This window comes from Homo sapiens, chromosome 21, assembly GCF_000001405.40.
Source record: "Homo sapiens chromosome 21, GRCh38.p14 Primary Assembly".
Classification (NCBI taxonomy): domain Eukaryota; kingdom Metazoa; phylum Chordata; class Mammalia; order Primates; family Hominidae; genus Homo; species Homo sapiens.
Window position 1 is genome coordinate 44,449,484 of NC_000021.9, and position 23,155 is coordinate 44,472,638.

General features: G+C 54.1%; 1 protein-coding gene, 1 long non-coding RNA gene and 1 pseudogene across 2 annotated transcripts, besides 4 other annotated features; 1 reads left to right on the forward strand and 2 right to left on the reverse strand.

Annotated features, from left to right (window-relative positions):
• Positions 1-1,502: 1,502 nt before the first annotated feature.
• LRRC3-DT (LRRC3 divergent transcript) lies at positions 1,503-5,801 on the reverse strand. The gene is made up of 4 exons (NR_047476.1): positions 5,761-5,801; positions 5,494-5,569; positions 1,924-2,286; positions 1,503-1,806 (listed from the first exon to the last, which is right to left on the reverse strand). It is a non-coding gene; the product is annotated as an LRRC3 divergent transcript (long non-coding RNA).
• Positions 5,024-5,524: an enhancer, noted in NCBI's record as "H3K4me1 hESC enhancer chr21:45874390-45874890 (GRCh37/hg19 assembly coordinates)". NCBI's record gives its function as "activates a minimal SCP1, AML or CMV promoter by ChIP-STARR-seq in primed H9 embryonic stem cells {active_cell/tissue: H9 hESC(primed)}" and the evidence as "EXISTENCE:reporter gene assay evidence [ECO:0000049][PMID:30033119]".
• Positions 5,688-5,867: a silencer, noted in NCBI's record as "fragment chr21:45875054-45875233 (GRCh37/hg19 assembly coordinates)". NCBI's record gives its function as "represses an EF-1alpha promoter that drives an FKBP-Casp9 reporter gene in an ReSE screen in K562 erythroleukemia cells {active_cell/tissue: K562}" and the evidence as "EXISTENCE:reporter gene assay evidence [ECO:0000049][PMID:32094911]".
• Positions 5,956-6,385: a silencer, noted in NCBI's record as "silent region_13384". NCBI's record gives its function as "represses an Ori minimal core promoter by ATAC-STARR-seq in GM12878 lymphoblastoid cells {active_cell/tissue: GM12878}" and the evidence as "EXISTENCE:reporter gene assay evidence [ECO:0000049][PMID:35858748]".
• On the forward strand, positions 6,027-12,713 carry LRRC3 (leucine rich repeat containing 3). Its single transcript, NM_030891.6, has 2 exons — positions 6,027-6,172; positions 7,015-12,713. The coding sequence occupies exon 2, from the start codon at positions 7,162-7,164 to the stop codon at positions 7,933-7,935; it is 774 nt and encodes a 257-aa protein (NP_112153.1). The 5' UTR covers positions 6,027-6,172; positions 7,015-7,161; the 3' UTR covers positions 7,936-12,713.
• Positions 10,428-11,310: an enhancer, noted in NCBI's record as "H3K4me1 hESC enhancer chr21:45879794-45880676 (GRCh37/hg19 assembly coordinates)". NCBI's record gives its function as "activates a minimal SCP1, AML or CMV promoter by ChIP-STARR-seq in naive and primed H9 embryonic stem cells {active_cell/tissue: H9 hESC(naive and primed)}" and the evidence as "EXISTENCE:reporter gene assay evidence [ECO:0000049][PMID:30033119]".
• On the reverse strand, positions 20,446-23,033 carry MTCYBP21 (MT-CYB pseudogene 21; annotated as a pseudogene).

Here is a 23,155-nt window from a genome sequence, read left to right on the forward strand (position 1 = left end):
GAGCAAGGGAAAGCCAGAGATCGGGGTGGGTGTGGCGTGCAGGAGAGCCCACAACAAGGGGGGGTTCCAGAATCCAAGGGAGGACCCCGGGAAATGGGACAGGCTGGGAGCCAGGGGCGAGGAGGTGGCTCAGGTGGCTAGGGGGCCTTTGGGGAAGGATGGCCTGGCTGCACAGACCGTGCTCGCTGGCCCAGGAGGGAACATAACCGGTCCAGATTTTCAAGATTGACAGAGAAATCCAGGAATTCAGGGAGCTTAGGGGAAGGCTCGGTCTGGCCAAAGCCACTGAGGACCAATTGGCTGAAAGGCAATTCATGAGGGCGGACGCCCTGGAGAGTGTGGCTGCTCCAGCCCAGCCCTCGTGGACTCCTCTTGGCAGCCCTGGCCCTCACCACGGTGCTGCCCCTGCCCTGCCTGTGAGATGGCCGGGGGCTCTGTCTGAGGGTCCCCACGCTGAGTGAGGGGCAGGGGCTGGGTCAGGAGGGACGAGTGTGGAGGCAGGGCAGCAGAGGGCCCCGGAGGGCAGCAGGGTGGTCAGCCTGCACCCAGCGGCTGGCCGTGGCAGTGGGGCAGGGCTCATCCGAGGCCGCTCTGTCTCTCTGAGTGTGGGGTGGGCAACCCCGGCTCCTTCACCCAAGATGTTTTATTCATTTGCCTGATGGCATCCCAGCCCCGTGGAGGCTGCAAGTGCAGCTCCTCCACGCCAGTCCCCAGCGAGACGCACTCAGACCTCTCCTGGCCAGATGCCCTCGCGGCTGGGAGAGTGATTAACCAGCTGGAGCAGCTGCATTTTACCCCCAGACCACAAGGCTGGATCCTGGGCAGATAAGGGAGTGAGATGCTCAGCCCTCAACTCAATCACAGCCATGAGGGAGGCCACAGCGCTCAGACCAGGGAGGCAGGAGGAGGCTTCTGGTGTTTTTGAGAGCACAGGCTGTGTGCAGGGCCCTTGGAGACGGCTGACGTCTTCACCAAATGGGGCAGGCCACACACGCAGAACCCAGGCGACCCAAAGAAGGCACTCACCACGTGGCTTCAGGCAAGTGCCCCTGACTCAACAATCGGTCAATCAGTGCATACACTGTGAACACCGGGAAGAGTCTGTGACCGGCGAGCACGCCGCACATCTGCCTTGTCTTGACGGTGGCATCACCCACACTTAGTCATGCACACACCTCTTAGGCGTGAGCAGCTGATGGGTTACTGATGTCAGCAACCAGCACCCAGTCATCTCCAGCCCCCAGAGCCCTGGAGCCCCTGCATTGTTGTCCCCATGCTTCTGACCTCCTCACCCCCCACGAGTCTCCTCTGCTCTTGAACCTCCCCAGTCGGAACCTGGCCAGGTGTCCTTTGCATGCCTGGCCTCCTTCACTCTTGGTAACGTCTGCGGATTCATTCCTGTCTACGCTGCAGTGTTCAGTGGCAACTGCATGAATTCACTGAAAATATACTGTAACGTTTGGGTTTGGCTGTGGCATCTCTTCCACTTTTAACATACCAACTTCACAGCTCACATTATTTTAATCCCTTTAAAAGATAATTGATTTAAAGCAAAAATCATAACAATGTGTTGTGGGGTTTATGACACACGAGAAGGTGTGATGGTGATGGTGTAGGGTCCAGGTGAGGGTGGGGGCACCCCGCTGTGGGGATCTTACAGTGTGCCTGACCGGCTGGCACAGGAGAAGCCGGGACAGGAGAAGCCGGAGGTAGGTCACTCTCCACCCTGGGGCAGCCACTGACAGCAGAGTCGCTGCGGAGGGGCCAGGCGGGGAACACACACGGAATCCTAAGGAAAACCTGAGGCTGGAAGAGAGGACAGAGGAACAGGGCTGTGTGGAGCGGCCAGGGAAGAATCAGCACACACCGGGCCCGGCCAGAGCGCTCGTCACCTCAAAACAAGGTCATCAAAGCCAGAATCACCCCAGCAAAACAGCGCAAGCTGGACCGCTGCCCTCACTCAGCTTCTACAGTTTCTCTGCTCGTGTTCTTTGTCCCTTCCAGGATTCCACGCTGCTTTTAGCTGTCACTTCTCCTGTCTTCTGTTGCCTTCCATGAGCTTTTTGCCTTTGAGTGCACTGACCAGTCACTTTGTATGGTGTCTCTCAGTTTGGGTGTGCCCAGGATGTTCTCACGATCGGAATGCGGAGATGCATTTTTGGCAGGAATATCGCAGAAGTGACGTCCTTCTCAGGTTGTTGTATCAAAGGTACGTGATGCCAATCTACCTTGCCACTGATGGCCCGAGCTTTGTCACATAGATAAGGTGGTTTCTGCACTGAAAAGCTGTTATTACTTTTTTAGGTTAATAAATATGTCAAAGCAGATACTTTGATCCTATGGAAATCTCCAATGAAGCTAATTTAAGTATAAGACACACTAGGTAAAAAGTAACAAGGTAAAAGAAGATATCCCATGCTAAACTAATCAAAGGAAAGCAGGAGTCAATTTCAAGTCAGAGTCTAGGGATAAAGAGGGTCATTTCATGATGACACAGGGGTCAACCAGTCAGGAGCATGCACGATGTGAGCACAGAGTCTCAAAACACATGAAGCAAAAGCTGATAGAGCTGCAAGGAAAAATTACAGACAAATCTGCAATTACAGTCAGAGGTTTCAACACCGCTATCAAGAATTTGTTTGTTTGAGACAGGGTCTTGCTCTGCCACCCAGGCTCAAATGCAATGGCACAATCACGGCTCACTGCAGCCTTGACTTCCTGGGCTCAAGAAATCCTCCTGCCTCAGCCTCCCAAGTAGCTAGGATTGCAGGCATGCGCTGCCATGGATGGGTGAGTTTTTGATTTTTTGTAGAGATGGTGTCTCACTTTGTTGCCCAGGCTGGTCTCTCAATAATTAGCAGAGCAAGTAGACAGAAAGTGGATGATAATATGGGCTACTCAAATAACACAGTCATTGCCGTTTATAGGACACCTCGTGGAGCAACAGTACACAAATTCAAGTGCGCATGCAACAACCGCCAACCATAATCGGGGCCATGAAAGAGTCTCAATAAATTTAAAAGGATCCGAAACATAGAATATGTCCTCTGACAACAATGGCTTTAAAGTAATGATCAACAGCAGAAAGAGCTCTGGAAAATGCACAGATATGTGGAAGTGAAATAGCATAGCTCTAAACTCATGGGTCAAAAAGGAAATCAAAGGGAAAATTATAAATTATTTTCAACTTAATGAAAACAAAAATACAACATATCAAAATTTCTGGGATGCAGTTAAAGGTGGACTTAGAGGGAAATTTATAGTACTGAATGCTTGTACAGATCAGTGACCCCAGCTTCCACCTTAAGAGACCTAAAAAAGAAGAGAAAGTCAAACCCAATGTAAGCAAAAGAGGCTGGGTGCAGTGGTTCATGCCTGTAATCCCAGCACTTTGGGAGGCCGAGGTGGGTGGATAACCTGAGGTCAGGAGTTCGAGACAAGCCTGGTCAACATGGTGAAACCCCATCTCTACTAAAAATATACAAAAATTAGCTGGGCATGGTGGCACATGCCTGTAATCCCAGCTACTCAGGAGGCTGAGGCAGGAGAATCACTTGAACCCGGAAGATGGAGTTTGCAGTGAGCCGAGATTGCCCCCACTGAACTCCAGCTTGGGCAACAAGGCAAGACTCTGTCTCAAAAACAAAAACAAAAACAAAAACAAACAAACAAAAAAACAAGCAAAAGAAAGAATAAAGAGTGGAAGTCAATGAAAAAAAAGTGCATCAACGAAACCAAAAAGCTATTTCTTTGAGAAGATCAATACAATTGATAAACTGCTATCTGATTGTTCAGTTAAAAAAAAAGCCACAATTGCCAGTATCAGAAATGAGAAAGATGACATCACCTCATACTTCACAGATGTTGAAAGGATAAAGGAATATTATGAACAACTTTATGCTAATAAATTCAACAACTTATATGCGATGGGCAATTTCTTGAGCGATACAAACTACATACATTCAGTCAAGAATAAAATAAACTCAGCAGTTGTATATCCATTAAATAATTCAACCACATATAAAAATGATAATACATCATGACCACGTGGGCTTTATCCCAAGAACACAAGATTGATTTAACACTTTAAAATCAATCATTATACTCTATCATATTAATAGATCATCACGCAAAAAGATTCTCAATAGATGCAGAAAAAACAAAATCCAACTTTCATTCCTGATTAAAAAGACTCTCAGCAAACAAGAGAAAGGATAGTCTTTTCAACAGTCTGGAAAAAACTGATTATCCACATACACAAAAAATAAACATTGAATCATATCTCATACTATAAACCCAAATAAACTTAAAATAGGTAATAGACCCAAATGCAAACCTTTAAAACTCTAAAACCCTTGTGACTTTGGGTGAGGCAAAGATTTCTTATATATGACACCAAAAGCAGGATCCATAAAAGAAAAACATAAATTGGATTTCCTCAAAATTAAAAAATTCTGCTCTTTGAAAAACTGTTAAGAGAATGAACACACAATCCAAAGGCTTGGAGAAAGCATTTACAGATCACATATCTGATAAAGGACTTGTATCCAGAATATGCAACAAACTCCCAAACTCAATAATAAGAAAATAAACAACCCAATTAAAAGTGAGTAAAAGATTTGAACTCAACGCTTACTACAGGAGATGGAGAATAAACAGATGAAATGATGCTCAACATCATTGGCCAACAGGGAAACGCAAATTAAAACCACAGTTCCATCTATCACCACACACCTATTAGAGTATTTGAAATTAAAAAGACAAACCATACCAAGTGCTGGGGAGGATGTGGAATGTAAAACCATACAATCGCTTTGGCAGTTTCTTAAAAAGTTTCACATATGGCTACCGTGGCATCCAGCCACTCCACTCCTAGACATCTATTCAAGAGAAAGAAAAGCATTCATCCAAAGACTTGTGCACAATGTTCGGATCAGCTTTATCTGTAAGAGCCAACACCAGAAACAACCCAAATGCCCACCAGCAGGTGAATGGACACAAACTGTGGTACATTCATACACTGGAGTACCATGCAGCTGTAAAAGAAATACGCATTGACAAACCAAATGACGCAGGCAAATCTCAAAAATAATTGTGCTGAGTGAAAGAAGCTACACAAAAAGTACATATTATATGATTCCATTTGTGCAAATCATAGGAAATGCAAAGTAATCAGTAGTGACAGAATGCAGATCAGTGCTTGCCTGGGGATGAGGGAGGGCAGGGAGAGATGACCAAGAGGGAACCCGGGGTGTTCACTATGCTGATTGTGGTGATGGTTTCACAGGAGTATCCGAGTGTTAAAACGTACCAAATTGAAATATGTGGCTTACCGTCTGTCAATTACACCACAATAAGGCTACTTTTTGAAAACCATGAGGATGGCTCAGGTCCGGCTCAAATGCCCCCACCCTGCGTTCCTTCCTTGGGATGTCAGACGCTGGAGCTGGAGCAGAAGGGGACCTAGATGGGCGGAGATCTAGCCCTACTCACCCACTGGCCACGGGGTAGGCGAGGGACGCTCAGCAGGGGCTTCCCGCAGACCCAGGGTCTTCAAGCCCCAGAAGTCCTGATGCCAGAGGGAAGAGGGGATTTGCCCAGAGTGAGGGGCAGGGGCTGGACCCACAGCCCCTCCCGGCGCGCAGACCCCGCCCCCACCCATAACCACGCCCTCAGCCCCCACCACCTCGTCCTCAGCCCCACAACCACGCCCCCAGCATGCCACAATTACTCCCACAACCCGCCCACAGCCCCTGCGACCTGGGTCTTAGTACCAGCTCCATCTAAAGCCGCACCACCGGCCCCTCCCATGCCCCTCCCATGCCCCTCCCCCATCTCTTCCAGGCCCCGCCCTGCCGCAGAACCCGCCCTCAAGCCCCGCCCCCGCCTAACCACAAATCCCGTTCCGGTCTCCTTACATGCCCCGCCCCTTCCCCGCCCCCGCGGGGAATCGACACAGCCTGTCTCCGCCTTTCGCCCCGCCCCCTCCAGGCCCCGCCCCACCCCGCCCCTCGCCCGCGCAGGCCGGAGTCGCGGCCTCCCCAGCTAGTGGTCGCGGGCGCGGTCGCAGGGGCAGCGGGGTGGCCGCCGCGCCAGGCGTGGAGCTGGGTCTGGCGGGCTCCGAGAGGCCCGGGAGCGGCGCGCAGAGCAGCCTCCGGCCGCCGCCGCGCAGGTAAAGCCCCCGCCCAGCCCTGGGAGCGTGGATTCCCACCCACCCCATGACCATCCCCCCGCCGCGAGTGCTGGGGTCTCGGGGGTCCCAGGTTCCGGGGGTCCTAGGGCCGGAGGGTCTAAAGGCTGGAGGTCCTGGGGGTCCGAGCCTCTCCCGGCCGGCTCCGCGCGCGGCCCCGCCGTCCACGCCCAGCGCGGGCCGCGCGCACAGGGCTTGGCTTCTCTGTTTTCTCGGTTTCCTTCTTCAGGCAGTTGAAAGAAAAGGCGCGGTTCTGTGCCCGGTGCGAGCCGCGGCTCCTTTAGGGCTGGCAGGGAAGGGCTTGCTGGGTTATGACAGTTTTTAGGGGTTGTCGGAGTCAGCCAGGCGTTGGCTGCTGGAGTAGCCCCTGGCGCGCGAGCGCCCGCTGGTGCCCGGCCACGTGCCCAGCTTGACCCGCGCTCCAGGTTCGGGAGAAGCTGCAGCCGTCACCGTCCTCCTGGCGTCCACCCTGAGGAGGGAGGGGCTGGGTGGTCCAAGCCGCCGCCACTCCGCCGCCCGGCCTTTGGTCCCCAGCGGTGCTGTAGGTGGCCAGGGGTGGCCGCAGTGACCACCCACTGGGCCATGCGGAGCCCCCTGGCAGTGCCAGCTCCCTGCACTTGTGGGACGCTCCTCCCGGGCGCATTGGGAGTCTCCAGAAGTAAGTTACAGGCAGAGCTGTTTAAGGAGGCGTGCTCCCCACCCCAGACCCTTCAGTGGGCCCTCAACACCCTCCCCACCAGTGGACGCGTTTCCCAGGTGACCGCAGCCGGCAGTGCTGACCACCCTCCCTCCCTCTCCGCTCCCTCCTGCGTCTTCCCTTTCAGAGCTGCCAGAGTGGACTGCACTGCTTCTCCCAGCGGGGCAGGATGGCGGTTTCATGTCTGGTTGGATAAGGCCTTGCCTGCGGAAACCAGCTCCATCCCCAGGCCCTAGCAGAGGCTCGCGTGTCCCCGTCCCCAGGTCAGGTCAGGATGGGCACCGTGCGCCCACCTCGCCCCTCGCTCCTGCTGGTCTCCACCCGGGAGTCTTGTCTCTTCCTCCTCTTCTGCCTGCACCTGGGCGCCGCCTGCCCACAGCCCTGCCGGTGCCCTGACCACGCAGGGGCTGTGGCTGTCTTCTGCAGCTTGCGGGGCCTTCAGGAGGTCCCCGAGGACATCCCGGCCAACACCGTGCTCCTGAAGCTCGATGCCAACAAGATCTCCCACCTCCCGGACGGGGCCTTCCAGCACCTGCACCGGCTCAGGGAGCTGGATCTGTCTCACAACGCCATCGAGGCCATCGGCTCCGCCACCTTCGCGGGCCTGGCCGGGGGCCTGCGGCTGCTGGACCTGTCTTACAACCGCATCCAGAGGATCCCCAAGGACGCCCTGGGCAAACTCAGCGCCAAGATACGCCTGTCCCACAACCCCCTGCACTGCGAGTGCGCCCTGCAGGAGGCCCTGTGGGAGCTGAAGCTGGACCCCGACTCTGTGGACGAGATCGCCTGCCACACCTCAGTGCAGGAGGAGTTTGTGGGGAAGCCTCTGGTTCAGGCTCTGGATGCGGGTGCCAGCCTCTGCAGCGTCCCCCACAGGACCACAGACGTGGCCATGCTGGTCACCATGTTCGGCTGGTTCGCCATGGTGATCGCCTACGTCGTGTACTATGTGCGCCACAACCAGGAGGATGCCCGGAGGCACCTGGAGTACCTGAAGTCTCTGCCCAGCGCCCCCGCCTCCAAGGACCCCATCGGCCCGGGGCCCTAGCGCCTGTTCCGGCAGACCCCCGCCGGTGGCTGCTGTCACTTTTGTAGTAGGTGGTGACTGATGCTGCTTTTGCTCTTCCCTGAGGCAGGTGTCACAGCCATGTGTGCTCCCCACTGTTGCACTCAGGCACAGCAGCACCTCCAGGCTGGGTGGTTTTGCCACACATCCGTGTGACGGATGAGGAACCTGAAGCTTAGAGGAACGGAATGACTGCCCGTGACGATACCATCAGGAAATTATCCCAGTGGAACTTCAACCCGGGCTGTCCATCGTGACATTCCGCCTCCTTCCACCATGCCAGCCTCTCCCACACGGGGCCCTGCAGGCTGTGGATATGCACTCAGAGGACTAAGGGGGTGCTCTGCAAGCGAGAGGGTTCACCAGAGGGAGCTTGGGTGCAGGTTCACCCGCTGAAGGCGCTGATAAGTCCTGTGCTGAGGAGCTGACTTGCCCTTGTTTACTTACAAAGTGCATTGTAGGTAAACATGAGCCTTGTTCCAGTGTTCGAAGTACATTGGAACGTAAGCCCTGTTTCCAGAGCAAAGTAACAGAGACCAGGTTTTTCTAGAGAGCTAAGTGGGATGTGTAGCTCAAACAAACTGTCCTACCCTTTTTTATTCTCAAATGTTTGTTTTGAGTAACCGTAGTGCCAAAATTTCAGTTCAGTAATGGGGTGAACAATATGGAGAGAGACCTGGGAAAAGTCCAGGGTAGCTTGCCCAGGGGAAGACAGCAGCCACATACCTGGGGGCCCGCCTGCTTCCTGCCCCTCTGGGTGTGCCTGATGCGGGAGGCCCTGCCCCAGGGCGATCTCAGCTCACTGCAACCTTTGCCTCCCAGGCTCAATCACTTCTGCTGCCTCAGCCTCCCTAGTAGCTGGAATTACAGGCATGAGCCACCACGCCTGGCTAATTTTTGTATTTTTAGTAGAGACCGGGTTTCACCATGTTGGCCAGGCTGGTCTCGAACTGTTGGCCTCAAGTGATCCGCCCGCCTCAGCCTCCCAAAGTGCTGGGATTACAGGCGTCAGCCACCGCGCCCGGCCCTGTGCCTTGCTTTTTCTACTCACTAAGATATAAAACAGCTCTTTTTCCAAGGCCCGGAGTACTGGGGATTGATGTTTCAAGGCCAATCAATGGGATGCTTCGTTTTCTCCAGCAACAGGAACTCTCTCTTTTCACCTTTGCTGCCAGGAATCTCAGAGATAATTTAGTGCTCAATTTACTAACCTTACTTCACATTCAGGTTAGATGTTACCTCCACCTATATGATAGTAATTCCTAATTTTATTTTTTATTGTCCTTTTTATGAGTGTTTATATTTTAAAGTACTTTGAGTATTTTTGGGGGGGGTGTAAATGAGTGATCAGTGTACATTGTGTGTGGACTGAAGTGTAGGTATGTAGAGATGCTTCGCCAAACAGATGCTTAAAAATGAATGGAAGTTGAGGGTGGTTTCTCTTTGGAAAGTATCAGGTGACTTGGAAGGTGAGAGCCTGTCCAGGGTGTGTGCACTGGTTCTGAGGTACCCCGTGTGTGCAGTGTGAGTCACGGGGGTGTCTGTGTTGTGAGGTGCTTGGTAGGCTTTGCTCTGCCCACAGTGCAGACGCGGGGTGGGTGAGGGGCCAGGCCCAGTGTATGAGTGGAGGCAGCCCCAGGCTCCGCCTGCTTCCCTCACGCCACGCTGCCTGAGTGTCGCCATGCTCGGAGGACAGAGACCTCCACGGAAACTGGCAGCGCCACTCACCCTTCCAGTGAGAGCTAGAACCAAGTGCCAGCCCCCGGGGGTGCACCCGTGCTGGTGTGGGGCCACGTGGTCCTTGTGGTCCAGGCAGGGCCAGCATGTGGCGGGGTGTCCAGCTCCACTGTTTGGAGGAAGTGGGCGCTGACACAGCAGAGTGCCCTGGGCCCGTGGGGATTTCCTTCCAGAGGACACGTGGCTGAAAGCATAGGATAAGGATGTATAGGTGAATGACTGGTGCCATCCCTGGCTGTCTGATAGATGCAGGTAGGGCAGGTGAACTGTTGCTGGCCTGGCCAGCAGGCCTAGGGTCACATGGTGATTGGCGTCCTCCTGCCACCCCTTCTCCATGCCAGGGTGCCTGTGGTGGGTTTGCCCAGCACGCATGACCCCAGGTCCCAAGGAGAGTGTGAACTGAGGCCTGGGTGGTGAAGGCAGGGCCTCTCCTCAGCCCTGTGTCCTGTGGGTGCCAGCCAGTCCCATCTCGCATTTTGGGGTGCCCTTTCCCTGCTGCCAGGGGACTCTTCATTTGTCCTTACCCTAGAATCAGCCCAGACACTGGACATCACCCAGACGTGGCCCTTCAGGAGGTGCACAGGGCAGGGGCAGGCCCGTCCCTCCCTGCCCCAATTTGCTGGGCTGCCTCAGCCCAGGGTCTGGCCTTCTCCTTGGTGAAGGTCTGCTGGGCCCCTGTCCACCTCCTGCTGGGAGGAGGAGATGGGGAGAGGACCAGGAGGACACCGGAGGCCCTGTCCCCTGCACTGTGAGCTCAGTCAGGTCCATGAGCTGCCCACCGTCCTGGCCTTACTGTGCCCCCTGCCCCACCAACATAGGTGAAAGCACCTCCCCTCTAAGGAAGACCATAGAGACCCCAACACTGTGGGACCCCAAAGCTCCTTCATGCTCACTGGAGCTCCCACCGTGGGTGCTTGCAAGTCCTCAGCGCTCCCGGGGTACAGCCCTCCCCTTCCTGCCCTCTAATGTCCTCCCCTCCCTTGCCCTTCCCTCCACTTCCTTTCTCTGCCGTCCCCTCCTCTCCCATCTTGTGACCTCTTTACTGGCGGGGCCTGGAGCCCATGATGGACACTTGCGGAAGGAGGGGTGGCGGAGCACCCCTGAGATGACATCGCTGCCTGCCCCAGAGCACCCCGCCTCTCCCTGTGACTCAGTTCTTTGCAGCCCAGATGTGAGCATGTGCACCCTGGGACCTGCTGCCCGTTGGGATGCCCAGGCCAAATCAGCCCCTCTGCCTCCATGCTGCACTGATTGCAAGAGTTTCCCACATCTGCAGAGGCCGTGGGCTCAGCCCCACACCAGCCAGGCCACCAGTGTTGATAGCGGTGAGGCGGGGACAAAGGGAATGTCTCAGTTCACAGTGTGGACATGGTGGAGGTCTCGGCCTTGCGAGACAAGGCAGGGGGAGGGGATAGGAAATTGGGGGTATTCTGTGACTCCTGGGCCACCGGGGAGCCAGAATCTTCCAGCCAGACTGGATGGGCAGGGCTTAGCTTCCTGATGCCGCCCATTCACCACTTTCACCCCGGGAACCTACCTGGGCATCATGGGAGGCAGAGCCTGAACCCCAACCCAACCCTAACTCTAATGCTAACCCCTAAACCATCCCCCACCCTAACCCAATCCTCGCCCTAACCCTAATGCTAACCCCTGACCCGACCCAATCCTAACCCTGATGCTAACCCCTGACTCAACTCTCACCCTAACCCTGATGCTAACCCCTGACCCAATCCTCACCCTAACCCTGATACTAACCCTTAACCTAACCCAACCCAGCCCTAACTCCAACTCTAAAGCTAACTCCTAACCCTAGGAGAGGAGCCCAGGCCGGGCCCTCTCCCTGCTGGTTTCCTGTTGGGCTTTGGAGCCCCAGATGCCTGCCCAGAGGCTTCCTTGTGCGGGGTGGGGTCCAGCAGTGGGGGATGGGCCCAGAGCTGGTATAGCCACCAGCAGAGCCATCCTGATCCACAGGACCATCCCTGGTGGGGTGGGGCCCCCTGGGGCAGGAAGGCCACTGAGGCCAGGGAGACTCCCAGGCCCACTCACGGCGCAGGCCCCACAGGAGCTGGCTGGAGGCTATGGGTGCGGGGCGTGGGCCTGCCGGGGGTTGCGTGACAGGCAGTGGGGAGTGGGTTGTGCTGGCAGCTGTGGGTGAGTGAGGAGGCTCCTCTCATGAAGGGCCCTGGGGAAGTGGAATCTGGCCCTGAGAGACCCCCGGCCTCCTCTGCAGGGGCTGCTGGCAGGAGGGGAACCGGGGACCACCTCCCGCCACAGAGCCTGGGGCCCCCAGCCTTGCCTACAGGGAGGGTAGATGAGAGTGTAAACTGCATATGAGGTTGGGCTAAACCTGGACATGTGTTTCATAACCAAAGCAGCCAGGAATCTCCGGCTCTGCCCAGTGATCATCTGGGCAGGACATGGGGACGAGTGTCCAGGCTGAAGTCAGGGCCCGGCCAGCAGAGGGCCATTTTGTATTGAGCTCCACAGCTGGTCACATTCTGTGGAATGTGCAGACGTGCACGGCCCATCAGACAGGGTCTGGAGTGGGGCTGCCGTCTTGGGCAGCTCCTCCCGGGTGTCTGCAAAATGCAGAGGTCACCAGAGCCAAGGCAGCAAGGCAAGGAGCCCGGCTTCTAAGGAACTCTGAGCAGGTGTGGTCCATGGCTGGGAGGCAGCTGGCCCCACAGCACATAGCACGGAGGGCGGCGCGGAGTCCTGGACGCTCTTGGCAGGTCCCCTCATGGAGGATGTGGGGGATTGGCTTAGGCCTGGTCTGGCTGGCCTTCCTGGACCGCAGTGGCCAGGAGCTGAAAACCGTGACCCCAGTCTCCCTGCAGCTGTTCTTGATGGGATTTCTGTTCGCCAGTCAGATGCATTTGCACAGGACTTGGATCCTGAACTGTGTAACCTGGAGAGGCAGGTGTGAGCGGGCCATGCTGCTGGCCCAGCCTGTGCCGGTGTCTGTTTCTGTTGTCTCTCGGCCCTTCTGTGAGCCCTCAGTAAAGCTCTTCGTGCTTCAGTCAGCAAGTGTGGATTCTGTCGTCGGCAACTCTGCGGCCCAAACCCCGAGCCTCCCCCTCCCCCAGACCTTGCAGTGCCATGGAGCTGAGGGACCTGTGGATCCACAGCTGTGGCCCCGGAAGGGCTGCAGGAGCTGAACCTGCGTGAGCCCCGCAGAGGGTGCAGAGCCGGCTTGTGCAGGCTCCCAGCAGGCTCATGACAGCGCGGATGGTTAAATGTAGCTCCTGACAGCCAACTGTTAAGGTTTCAGGCATTTTTGCACCAGGTGACATGATGGTAGCCTGAACGTGACCTTGGCAGCAGTCTCTACATCAAGGAAACTGGCAAATGTCAACATGCTGGGTACCCTCGCTCCTGCCGCCGCAGGCTGTCAGTGTCTTCCAGCCCACACTGCGGGGGGCCTTGTTGTGTGGCTGCCTCCCAGGCTGGGGCGAGGGTCTCCAGAGACCACCATCGTGCAGGCTCTTGGTCAATAGCAGGGTGTGGTGCTCCTGCCAGGGGACGCATTCTCCGTGTGACCTCTACACCCCAGGTCAGGTCAGGATGTGATTTGCTTCTCCAGGGCCGTGACTCACTAGATCCACCTCCCACTGGTGCCTGGTGGCCCCCGACAGCCCTGGCCCTGTCCAGGCCCTGGCCTGTCCTACAGTCACAGGTGCTGGCCTGTCCCTGCTGTCCTCCTGACCACCTGGTGCTCCCGGCCACCCTGCCCGCCCCCCTGTCTCCTCGGGACAGCCTGGCTGCCTCCACTTGCTGGCCCCTGCCGGCCCACCCTCTTTCCAAGCCTGCCCTGCCCCTCAGCTCCTGGGGTGGGGAGGGGAGACCTCGCCTTCTGCCTGCAGCGACTCCCACCTGTCACGGAGCCCCCCTGCAGCACCACCAGGCCCTGCCCTTTCCCAAGCAGAGGGATGGGACAGCCGTGCAGATCTCAGGTCCCGCCCCTAGGGAAGGGCCTCGCTGCAGAAGCCAGGCTGCTCACCTTGGAGTGTGGGGAACCAGCGCCCCTTTCAGCACCCGGTGGTGTCTCTCTGTGGGAAGGGAGCGGTTTTATCCAAGCAGGACACTGTTTTCTGTAGTTTTACCTTCTTTCAAGAAATGTCGTATATGAGACCTCCGTTGAGTGTGGCAGCTGTTCATTGATATTCCATTGGATGCACTAGTGTGTCCTAGTCCCCACGATCAATGTGTAAATCGTAACATCCAATCATAGCGAGTTTCACACACACAGGAATAAATAAATGGAGAGTGCTGTACCGGGCTCCATTCGCCTCCTCCTGCCGTGATGCAAGCCTGCTCTACCTGGCTTCCCATCCTCACACCCGCCTACGTTCTCCCTCCAAATGAGTAAAAGCAAATCCCAGACCTCAAAAACAAAAACAAAACAAAACAAAACCTATCTGTAAATATCAGCAGGAGCTGTTCACACATAGGGCCTCTTTTTTGTCTTAAATATATAACCGCAAAACCACCATCCACCTGAAAATGACATTCCAGCAGTTCCTGAGTCTTCCTCGCTCGGTGCTCACATCTCCCTGACGGTCTCATCGTATTTTCCGGGCTTGCTGGAATCAGAGTCTCCCCAGCGCTCCGCCGAGGCCGCTGGCCAAGGCCTCTTAGGTCTATTAGCTTATGGGCCCCGTTTGTCTGCTGTCGGCTCCCCTCGCGGTGGTTCTGCTGAAGCAGCCTGGCTGCCGGCCCGGGGACACCCTGCCTGGATTCCGCGGCGCCCCCACGCGCCTCTGTGAATGCGTGGGCTCGCTGGATTTCCCGCAGGGCTTGCTGGCCACGCTCTCCCGTCAGCTGTGTGTCTTCCGTTGCCTCCCGGGGACGTTTGTAGCTGCTGTTCATTCGCAGGGTGATTGAGCAGGATCCGCTGGGCCATGAGCCCTCTTCACTTGTTAGCTAGAATCTTCCAGGAAGCGCATCGGTGCCTCCTTCCCTGTGCCTGGTTCCTGCGGGACGGCGGGAGGGTCACTGGCCACGCTCCTTGATTCACCGAGTGCAGGGTGAAGAGCTGCCTCCTCTAACAGTGACAGTCATGTTGTAAGCATCATTTTGCGTGGCTCTAAACACATTTGGTGGCCTTACTTTCCCTAATGCAGCCACAGCATCCTGTCTGTGACCAGAGGCACCTCCGCATCTGCTCTGTCTTTATGACCAGCCCTCGTTGTCCTTGCAGCTTCGTGGCTCTTGGGTGGGACAAGGGGTCCTTGTCTTGTCCCCTCCTGCCCTGGCCCTGGGGAGCCCTGATTTCTTTGGGGAGGAGAGGCATCCACAGCCTGGACTTGACAGGTGCTCGCCGTGAGCCAGCCCTGCCTCTCAGGCCTGCCTGGTCTGTCTCCTCGAAAGGTCAAACAGCCCGTGGGCTCCCATGGATGCTTCCTGTGGCCCAGGGCTAAGGTGCCATCCTCCCACCCTCGCCTGGCCCTCGGTGGCATCTCCACCTCACCTCGGCTCCAAGCACCCCAGAGGCAGAGGGTTCCGCCTTCATTTCACCTCCCTCTTCAAGGCCATCCCCGTGGTGGGCAGAATCGCAGCCCCCAGAGATGTCCCTATCCTCATCCTGGCAGCCTGTGAAGATGTTACTTTATGTGGCAGAAGGGACTTTGCAGGTGGGATTAAATCCAGGACCCAGAGATGGGCGATGTCCTCACAGGGTCCTAGTAAGTGGGGGGCGGGAGCTGTGAGCACAGGGGGTCGGGGTGCTGTGCGGCTGCCTTGGAGGTGGAGGGGGGCACCCTGAGCCACGCATGGGAAAGGCAGGAAACAGGTTCTCTCCTGGAGCCTCCAGAGGGAACCAGCCCTGGCAGTACCTTGATTGTAGCCCCGTGAGACCCGTGTCCAACCTCTGACCTCCAGAATTCTAAAATAGATGGCGTCGGTCAAACCCCAAGTTTTTGGCAATTTGTTTCAGCAGCCACAGGACACCAGCCACCTCCCCACAGTGAGAGCTGCCCACGTGGGCAGAGCCGATGGCCCTCGTGCTCTGGGCACCCTGGGCACCGTCCCCAGGGCTCAGTTCTGGGGGTGAGTGTGTCTTTAATGCCATGGCCTAGTGACCACAGGGAGCTCACATTGCCTCTGTCAGCCTCTCCTGCTTCCCTGCAGGACAGGAGTGTCCCTCCCAGATGGGACAGGGGCTGTGGTGTGGGGTGGCTCAATGCTGCTGGCCACCTGGATCCTCACACACACTCGGGCGCACACACAGGCACACACACACACTCTCACTCTCCCTGTACACACACACACACATGCTTACTCTCCCTGTACACACACACACACACGCTCACTCTCCCTGTACACACACATTCTCCCTGTACACACACACTCTCCCTGTACACACACACACATGCTCACTCTCCCTGTACACACACACTCTCCCTGTACACACACACACATGCTCACTCTCCCTGTACACACACATTCTCCCTGTACACACACACTCTCCCTGTACACACACACACATGCTCACTCTCTCTGTACACACACGCGCATGCTCACTCTCCTTGTACACACACTCCCTGTACACACACTCCCTGTACACACACACACGCTCACTCTCCCTGTACACACACATTCTCCCTGTACACACACACTCTCCCTGTACACACACACACATGCTCACTCTCCCTGTACACACACACACTCTCCCTGTACACACACACACATGCTCACTCTCCCTGTACACACACATTCTCCCTGTACACACACACTCTCCCTGTACACACACACACATGCTCACTCTCCCTGTACACACACGTGCATGCTCACTCTCCTTGTGCACACACTCCCTGTACACACACACACACGCTCACTCTCCCTGTACACACACATTCTCCCTGTACACACACACTCTCCCTGTACACACACACACATGCTCACTCTCCCTGTAACACACACACACTCTCCCTGTACACACACACACGCTCACTCTCCCTGTACACACACACGCTCACTCTTCCTGTACACACACACACACGCTCACTCTCCCTGTACACACACACACTTGATCTCACTGCACACACACACCAGCACACACGCTCACACACATTGTCTTACACACCTGAGCTGGGGACCGATGAGACTGACCGATGAGAGTTCAGTGACAGCAAAATCCTGCAGCCTCGTGACAGGGCTCAGGGAGGGCTGCCTGCCTGGGAGGGGACAGCAGCCATGGCCTCACGTGGCCAAGGTTGCTAGAGAGGGGGCCTCAGGTCATCCTCACATGGGCCTGGTTTGCTGGTCGTATTTCTATTTTCAGATGAGAAACTTGAGACTGAGGTCCAGAGGGGAGAAAGGACGCACTCAGGACAGGGCTTGTTTGGGGCACAGCTGGGCTGGAGTCGGGGTCTCTGACACCCAGCCCTGGAGACCCTCTCTCGGCAACCTGGGCCATGGCAGTTGTCAAAACAAATCGGCAAGTCCTTGATGGAGCCCCAGAAGGGAGAGTGGCCAGTGCCACGGTGAGCAGTGCCCAGGGCCACGCTGGCTAGGAGCGGGGCTGCCTATGCTGGGAGCCCTGTGCACTGGGCTCTGCACCCGTAGCCATGGCAACGATGCTGGCTGGAGATGGAGTGGACGCTCAGGTGCCGCTGGATGATGCCGGCCACCTGCAGTTTTGGGGCCCAGCTGGAGGTCAGCAGGGTGGACTCACAACCCCCTGAGTTCAGGTACAGGGAGCTGTGGAGACAGGCCCACCCAGGCTGACCTTCCCCAGAGCCTTGCTGTCACGGAGAGGAGGGGGCGTTGGAGGAAGGGCCACAAATGCAGGAGAGGGGGCAATGGCCTGGGACAAGATGGAGAACAGCCACCCGTTCCCCAGTACAGCCAGGTCAGGACACGGATCCCAGCAAGCCCTTTGGATGGGGAGACTGAGGTACAGCTGATGACTCACCCTAGGTGATACCAGCTGTGAGAGCCGGAGTGGGGATGCAGACAGGGAGGGTGGCCAGTGGCCACCTGCGAGGACTCAGCAGCCAGGGCGATGACGCCAGAGAGTCAAGGCGTGAGAACCCCCGAGAAGAAGAGTGAGTGTCATTCACCTAACGACGCGGTGACTGCACATTTGCCCAAGTTGTAACTGTGGCAGGTGCAGCGCGCAGACCAGGCAGGAGATGGAGAGACGTCCAGGGGGAGGTCTCGCTGTGTCAAGGTGCTCAGCTCCAGGTGCCAGCCGGCCCGAGACAAAAGTGGACCAGCCTTGACGCCCTGGTCTGCCGCCTCCCTCCATTGCCTGCCTCCCCGGCTGCATACACGTTCAGATTTTAGGCGATCAGTGGTGGACCCTACAGGCCTCTGTGGGCAGTGGTCACCTCGCTCTGCGCTTACCCCAGGGGCTCGCGGCTTCAAAGGGTCTGGGTGCCAGGTGGGCCCCAGAACAGCTCCCGATGTGACCCCTACCCAGGCTGCACCAGGGAGCCCCCTCCGTGCACACAGGTGCGCTGGAGGTAGCCTCCTGGGATGGGCCAGGTGAGCTGGAGGTAGCCTCCTGGGACCGGCCAGGTGACCTGGAGGTAGCCTCCTGGGATGGGCGCCCTGTCTCCTGTCCTCACACTCAGCTTGGCAGCATGCTGGGGAAGCTGCCCTCTCGACCCTCCTGGGCACAGCTTGCACTTCTGAGCCCCAGCCAAGGCGAGTAGGCGGGCGCAGGTGACGGGCTCAGGGTGCTGCCCGAGAGCAGCTCTGCTCCCGGTCAGCGGGACCCAGGTCTCCGCAGGCTCCGGGTGCCTCTGATGTCCCTGTAGCCACTGGCAGGGGTGACGAGATCCAAGGCTCCGGGTGGAAACGCCAACCTCCGATCCTTGCCCTGGGCCTCAGCCGAGAAGTCACGTGGACCCAGAGCCTGTGGAAATCACGATGATTGGGCCGTGAAGACAGAGGGTTCCTGAGCAAGTCATTCGAATCAGCATCACCAGAAAGCGGATGCCTCATCAGTCTTCAGGTGTTTAGCAGCCCAGGGACAAGGACTGGGAAGGGACACTTCTGTCCAGAGTCTAGCCCCGGACTCAGGGCTCGGCTGCTGCTGTTGCATTCCCTTGGTACCTCGTGGGTATCACTTAGGATTTAAGCCTGTTTTTCACCAGTTGGGTCTCTTTCATGCCTGGGTGTAGCCACTGGAGTGAACCCAGCCCTTGGTGTGCCGTAGCTTCAGCATTTGTGCTGGTATTTCAGATTTATTTATTTATTTATTTATTTATTTATTTATTTATTTATTTTTGAGATGGTGTCTCACTCTGTTGCCCAGGCTGGATTGCAATGGTCAGCTCACTGCAACCTCTGCCTCCTGAGTTCAAGTGATTCTCCTGCCTCGGCCTCCCAAAGTGCTGGGATTACAGGCGTGAGCCACCACGCGCTGCCAATGCAGCCCTTTTTAATAAATGACATGAGTCACAAGAGAATCTCCAAGAATTACTAGGTAAAACTACTTAGGAAGGAATACTTGGCTTCCAGGTATTAAATTACACGAAAATGCTCAGTAAACAAATCAACCTACAATTGGCATAACTTTTGGAAAGGTTAAAGTTACAAATGTTGGAAATAAAAAGATTCTAGAATAGAACTGGCTTTTTTTTTTTTTTTTCATTTTAGGGAAAAACATTCTTAAGGTAAAACAATGGAAGTAAGTGAAAATGGAAGATGCCTGTCCAGTGTGACATGTTTGTGAAATATATAGTTTTATATATTTTAAAATATAAGTAACTAGATCTGGGCTGGGCACAGTGGCTCACGCCTATAATCCCAGCACTTTAGGAGGCTGAGGCGGGTGGATCACCTAAGGTCAGGAGTCACTTGAACCTGGGAGGCGGAGGTTGCAGCGAGCCAAGATCATTGCACTCCGGCCTGGGCGGCAGAGCGAAACTCCATCTCAAAAGAAAAGAAGAGAAGAGAAGGGAAGGGGAGGGGAGGGGAGGGGAGGGGTTGCATTGGGATTTTGATTGGAATTGCATAGAAACTCCATATTAACGTGGGACATTTTACAATGCTAGGACATCAGTTTGAAGGTTTGTCTAAGTCTTTGTGTCCTGCAGTCTGATTTTGTTTATTTCTAGGGCATGTGGACAGTTTTAACCAGGTCCTCTTCCCGTATGATGCGGGGAAGGGGACAGTGCGGTGAACTTTGCAGATGGCGAAAAGACCCAAGTTTTATGCGCCTAGACTAAGGAGGAGGATACTTCCCAAATGGTAGCTAATTTCTAGACGCTTGGTAGTTAAGTTTATTTGGAGGTGATAAGCATGTTGTTGGGAAATGATCTGGCTTACATGTGCTATGTGTGATCTATAATTACATGTCCTATGTAATGTTAAGGATTATCTGTACTGGGTGATACTCACATACTTGAGAACTGGGTTTGTGGATTTTGGCCTGGTTGACGTATGACAGGTTGTCACAACAGTTCATCTTCTTGCTTAATATTCATGCGGGGCACAACTTAATGTACAATAATACACAAACGTACAATGTGTGATGAAACACATAGCACATCATTAAAAGTGGCAAGCACAATGTTCATGGTTATCGTAATAATTTATAGGAGTTTTTCCAATACTGACATGGCAGTTAATATTAATTAATTGCACCTCAAGTATGAATGTCAGGGGGTAAAGTAGAATCACGCTTTGGGTACCAGTGGTGGAGCAGATAGCTTCTTCCTCGAATTGGCCTAGGGAGGAGTGCTCTCCATTTTTGGTTTACAAGACCAGAGTCACATAAATATACCACAAGGACTTCTTCCTTTCAGTAGCTTGTCTTCGATTCAGCTAGTGAGTGGTATTAAAAGGAGAATGAGAGGGAAATACATAGTGGATGCTTCTTGACCAACCATAATGAAAGGCTGTTCAATGGGCTGACCCCCGAGCCACGTATGTGTGAGAAGCTCTGCTCCTAGAATTCAAATGGACATTAGCTGAATGGTGGGATATTATGGATGCTCCATTGTTTAGACAGGTGAAGTATTGGGACAATGGCCAGGATGAGAACAGAGAAGACAGGGGCCAGAATTCCTCCTGAGGTATTGGGAATGGAGCATAGGGTTGATGTGTCATTCTGGTTTGATGTGAGGTGGTGCGTTAGGGGATTTGCTGGGCTATAATTATCTAGGTCTCCTAGTAGGTCAGGTTAAAACAAGACTGCAACAGGTAATCATCATGGGAGGAGAACCAAGCCTAAAATGTTTTTGTATTTTTTTTTTCTGAGACGGAGTCTCGCTCTGTCGCCCAGGCTGGAGTGCAGTGGCGCGATCTTGGCTCACTGCAAGCTCCGCCTCCCGGGTTCACGCCATTCTCCTGCCTCAGCCTCCCGAGTAGCTGGGACTACAGGCACCCGCCACCACGCCCGGCTAATTTTTTGTATTTATAGTAGAGATGGAGTTTCACCGTGTTAGCCAGGATGGTCTCGATCTCCTGACCTTGTGATCCGCCTGCCTCGGCCTCCCAAAGTGCTGGGGATTACAGGCATGAGCCACCTCGCCCAGCCCTAAAATGTTTTTAATTGTGTAGTATGGGTGAAATGGGATTGTGCCACATCTGATGAAATTCCTGATGGGTTGTTGGATCCCGTTACCTGAAGGGAGAGAAGGTGGACAGCTACCAAGGCAGCGACGTGAAGGGTAAAGTGAAGTGAAAAGTGAAGAATCGTGTCAGGGTGGCTTTGTCAACTGAAGATCTGTCTCCACCTGACTCCACTAGATAGGTGCCAGTGCATGGAATAGCTGATCACAGGGTTGTGATCACTGTGTGTGAGCGCTCCTTGTATGAGTCTGTTCTCACACTGCTGTAAGGAACTACCTGAGACTGGGTAATGGACGAAGAAAAGAGGTTTCATTGACTCACAGTTCTGTAGGCTGTATAGGAAGCATGGCTGTGAGGCCTCAGGAAACTTACAACCATGGAGGAAGGCTAAGGGGATTCAGGCACCTTATTCACGTGACGGAGCAGGAGAAAGAGAGACAAGGGAAGAAGCGCCACACGCTTTTAAACCATCAAATCTCATGGGAACTTGCTCACTACTGAGGACTAAGCTCTCATTTTTTTTTTTTTTTTTTTTTTATCTTGCCCAAATTCCTATCTAGATGATCCTAAATCCTATCTGGATGGTCATGTCCTACAAACCATAAATTCTCATGAGATGGTTTTATTTAACCCTACATGTTGTGACTTACTTTCCAGTCTGACTCTGGCATGACATTATGTGACAAAGAAGAAAGTCAAAATAATTTACCCCAAAACATGTTTCTTTGACATATCTTTGCTCTGCAAAGCTGTCCTTTGTGGGGGAAAATTTGCATCTCTAAAGAATCTGTATTAACATAGCTAGATCTTTTTCTTCCAAGTCCTCCCAATCCTGAAGAGATTAAAAGTCTAGCACCTTTTAAAGATTTAAATAGGAAACATTGTCATCTATTGTCTCTAAGGGCAGCCACTATGAGACTTCCAAAGAAACTTGGTCTCCACAATCTTTTATCTTAACTAACATTTCCTTTCTATGATCCCAGGTCTTTAGACAAACTCAACCAATTGTTAACCAGAAAATGTTTAGATTCACCAAAAGCCTGGAAGTCCCCACTTTGAGTTGTCCCACCTTTCTGGACCAAACCAGTATATTTCTTAAATGTATTTGGCTGATGTCTCATGCCTCCCTAAAATCTACAAATCCAAGCTGTACCCCGACCACCTTGGGTACATGTTCTCAGGACCTCCTGAAGGCTGTGTCACAGGCCATGGTCACTCATATTTGGCTCAGAACAAATCTCTTCAAATATTTTACAGAGTCTGACTCTTTTTGTCGACACTATCATGAGAACAGCAAGGAGGAAATTCGCCCCTATGATTCAGTCGCCTCTCACCAGGCCCCTCCTCCAATTCGACATGAGATTTGGGTGGGGACACAAATCCAAAACATGTCACTCCTCAAAAAGACATTTGTCTTCATGGTAGGGCGTAGCCTATACATGCTGTTGCTATCACTGCCAATAGCAGAAATGATGTCAATGTTTCCGGTTTCCAGAAAAGTGTAGGACCCCTGGGATAAGCCTCTTCCTACATATATAAATAGGCAGATGAGAATATTGATGTCAATGTCAGATAACTCAGCCATAATTTACATCTCAGCAGATATGTGCAACAGAGGAAAATGCAGTTACTGTATCTGGTGTATAATGTATAGCTAGAAAAAGTCCTGTAATGATTTCTAGGGCTCGGCAGACCCCTAAAAGTGAGCCGAAATTCCATCATGCAGAGATAGTTGATGGCACTGGGAAGTCAGTGAAGAAGTGGTTGATAATTTTTATTAGGTGGTGGGTTTTTCAAATGTCGACCACTAGATTTCTTGTTTTTTGTTTTTTGCTTTTGGAGATGGAGTGTATATCTGTTGCTGGAGTGTAATGACACGATGACAGTTCATTGCAGCCTCGACTTTCCAGGCTCAAGTGATCCTCCCACCTCAGCC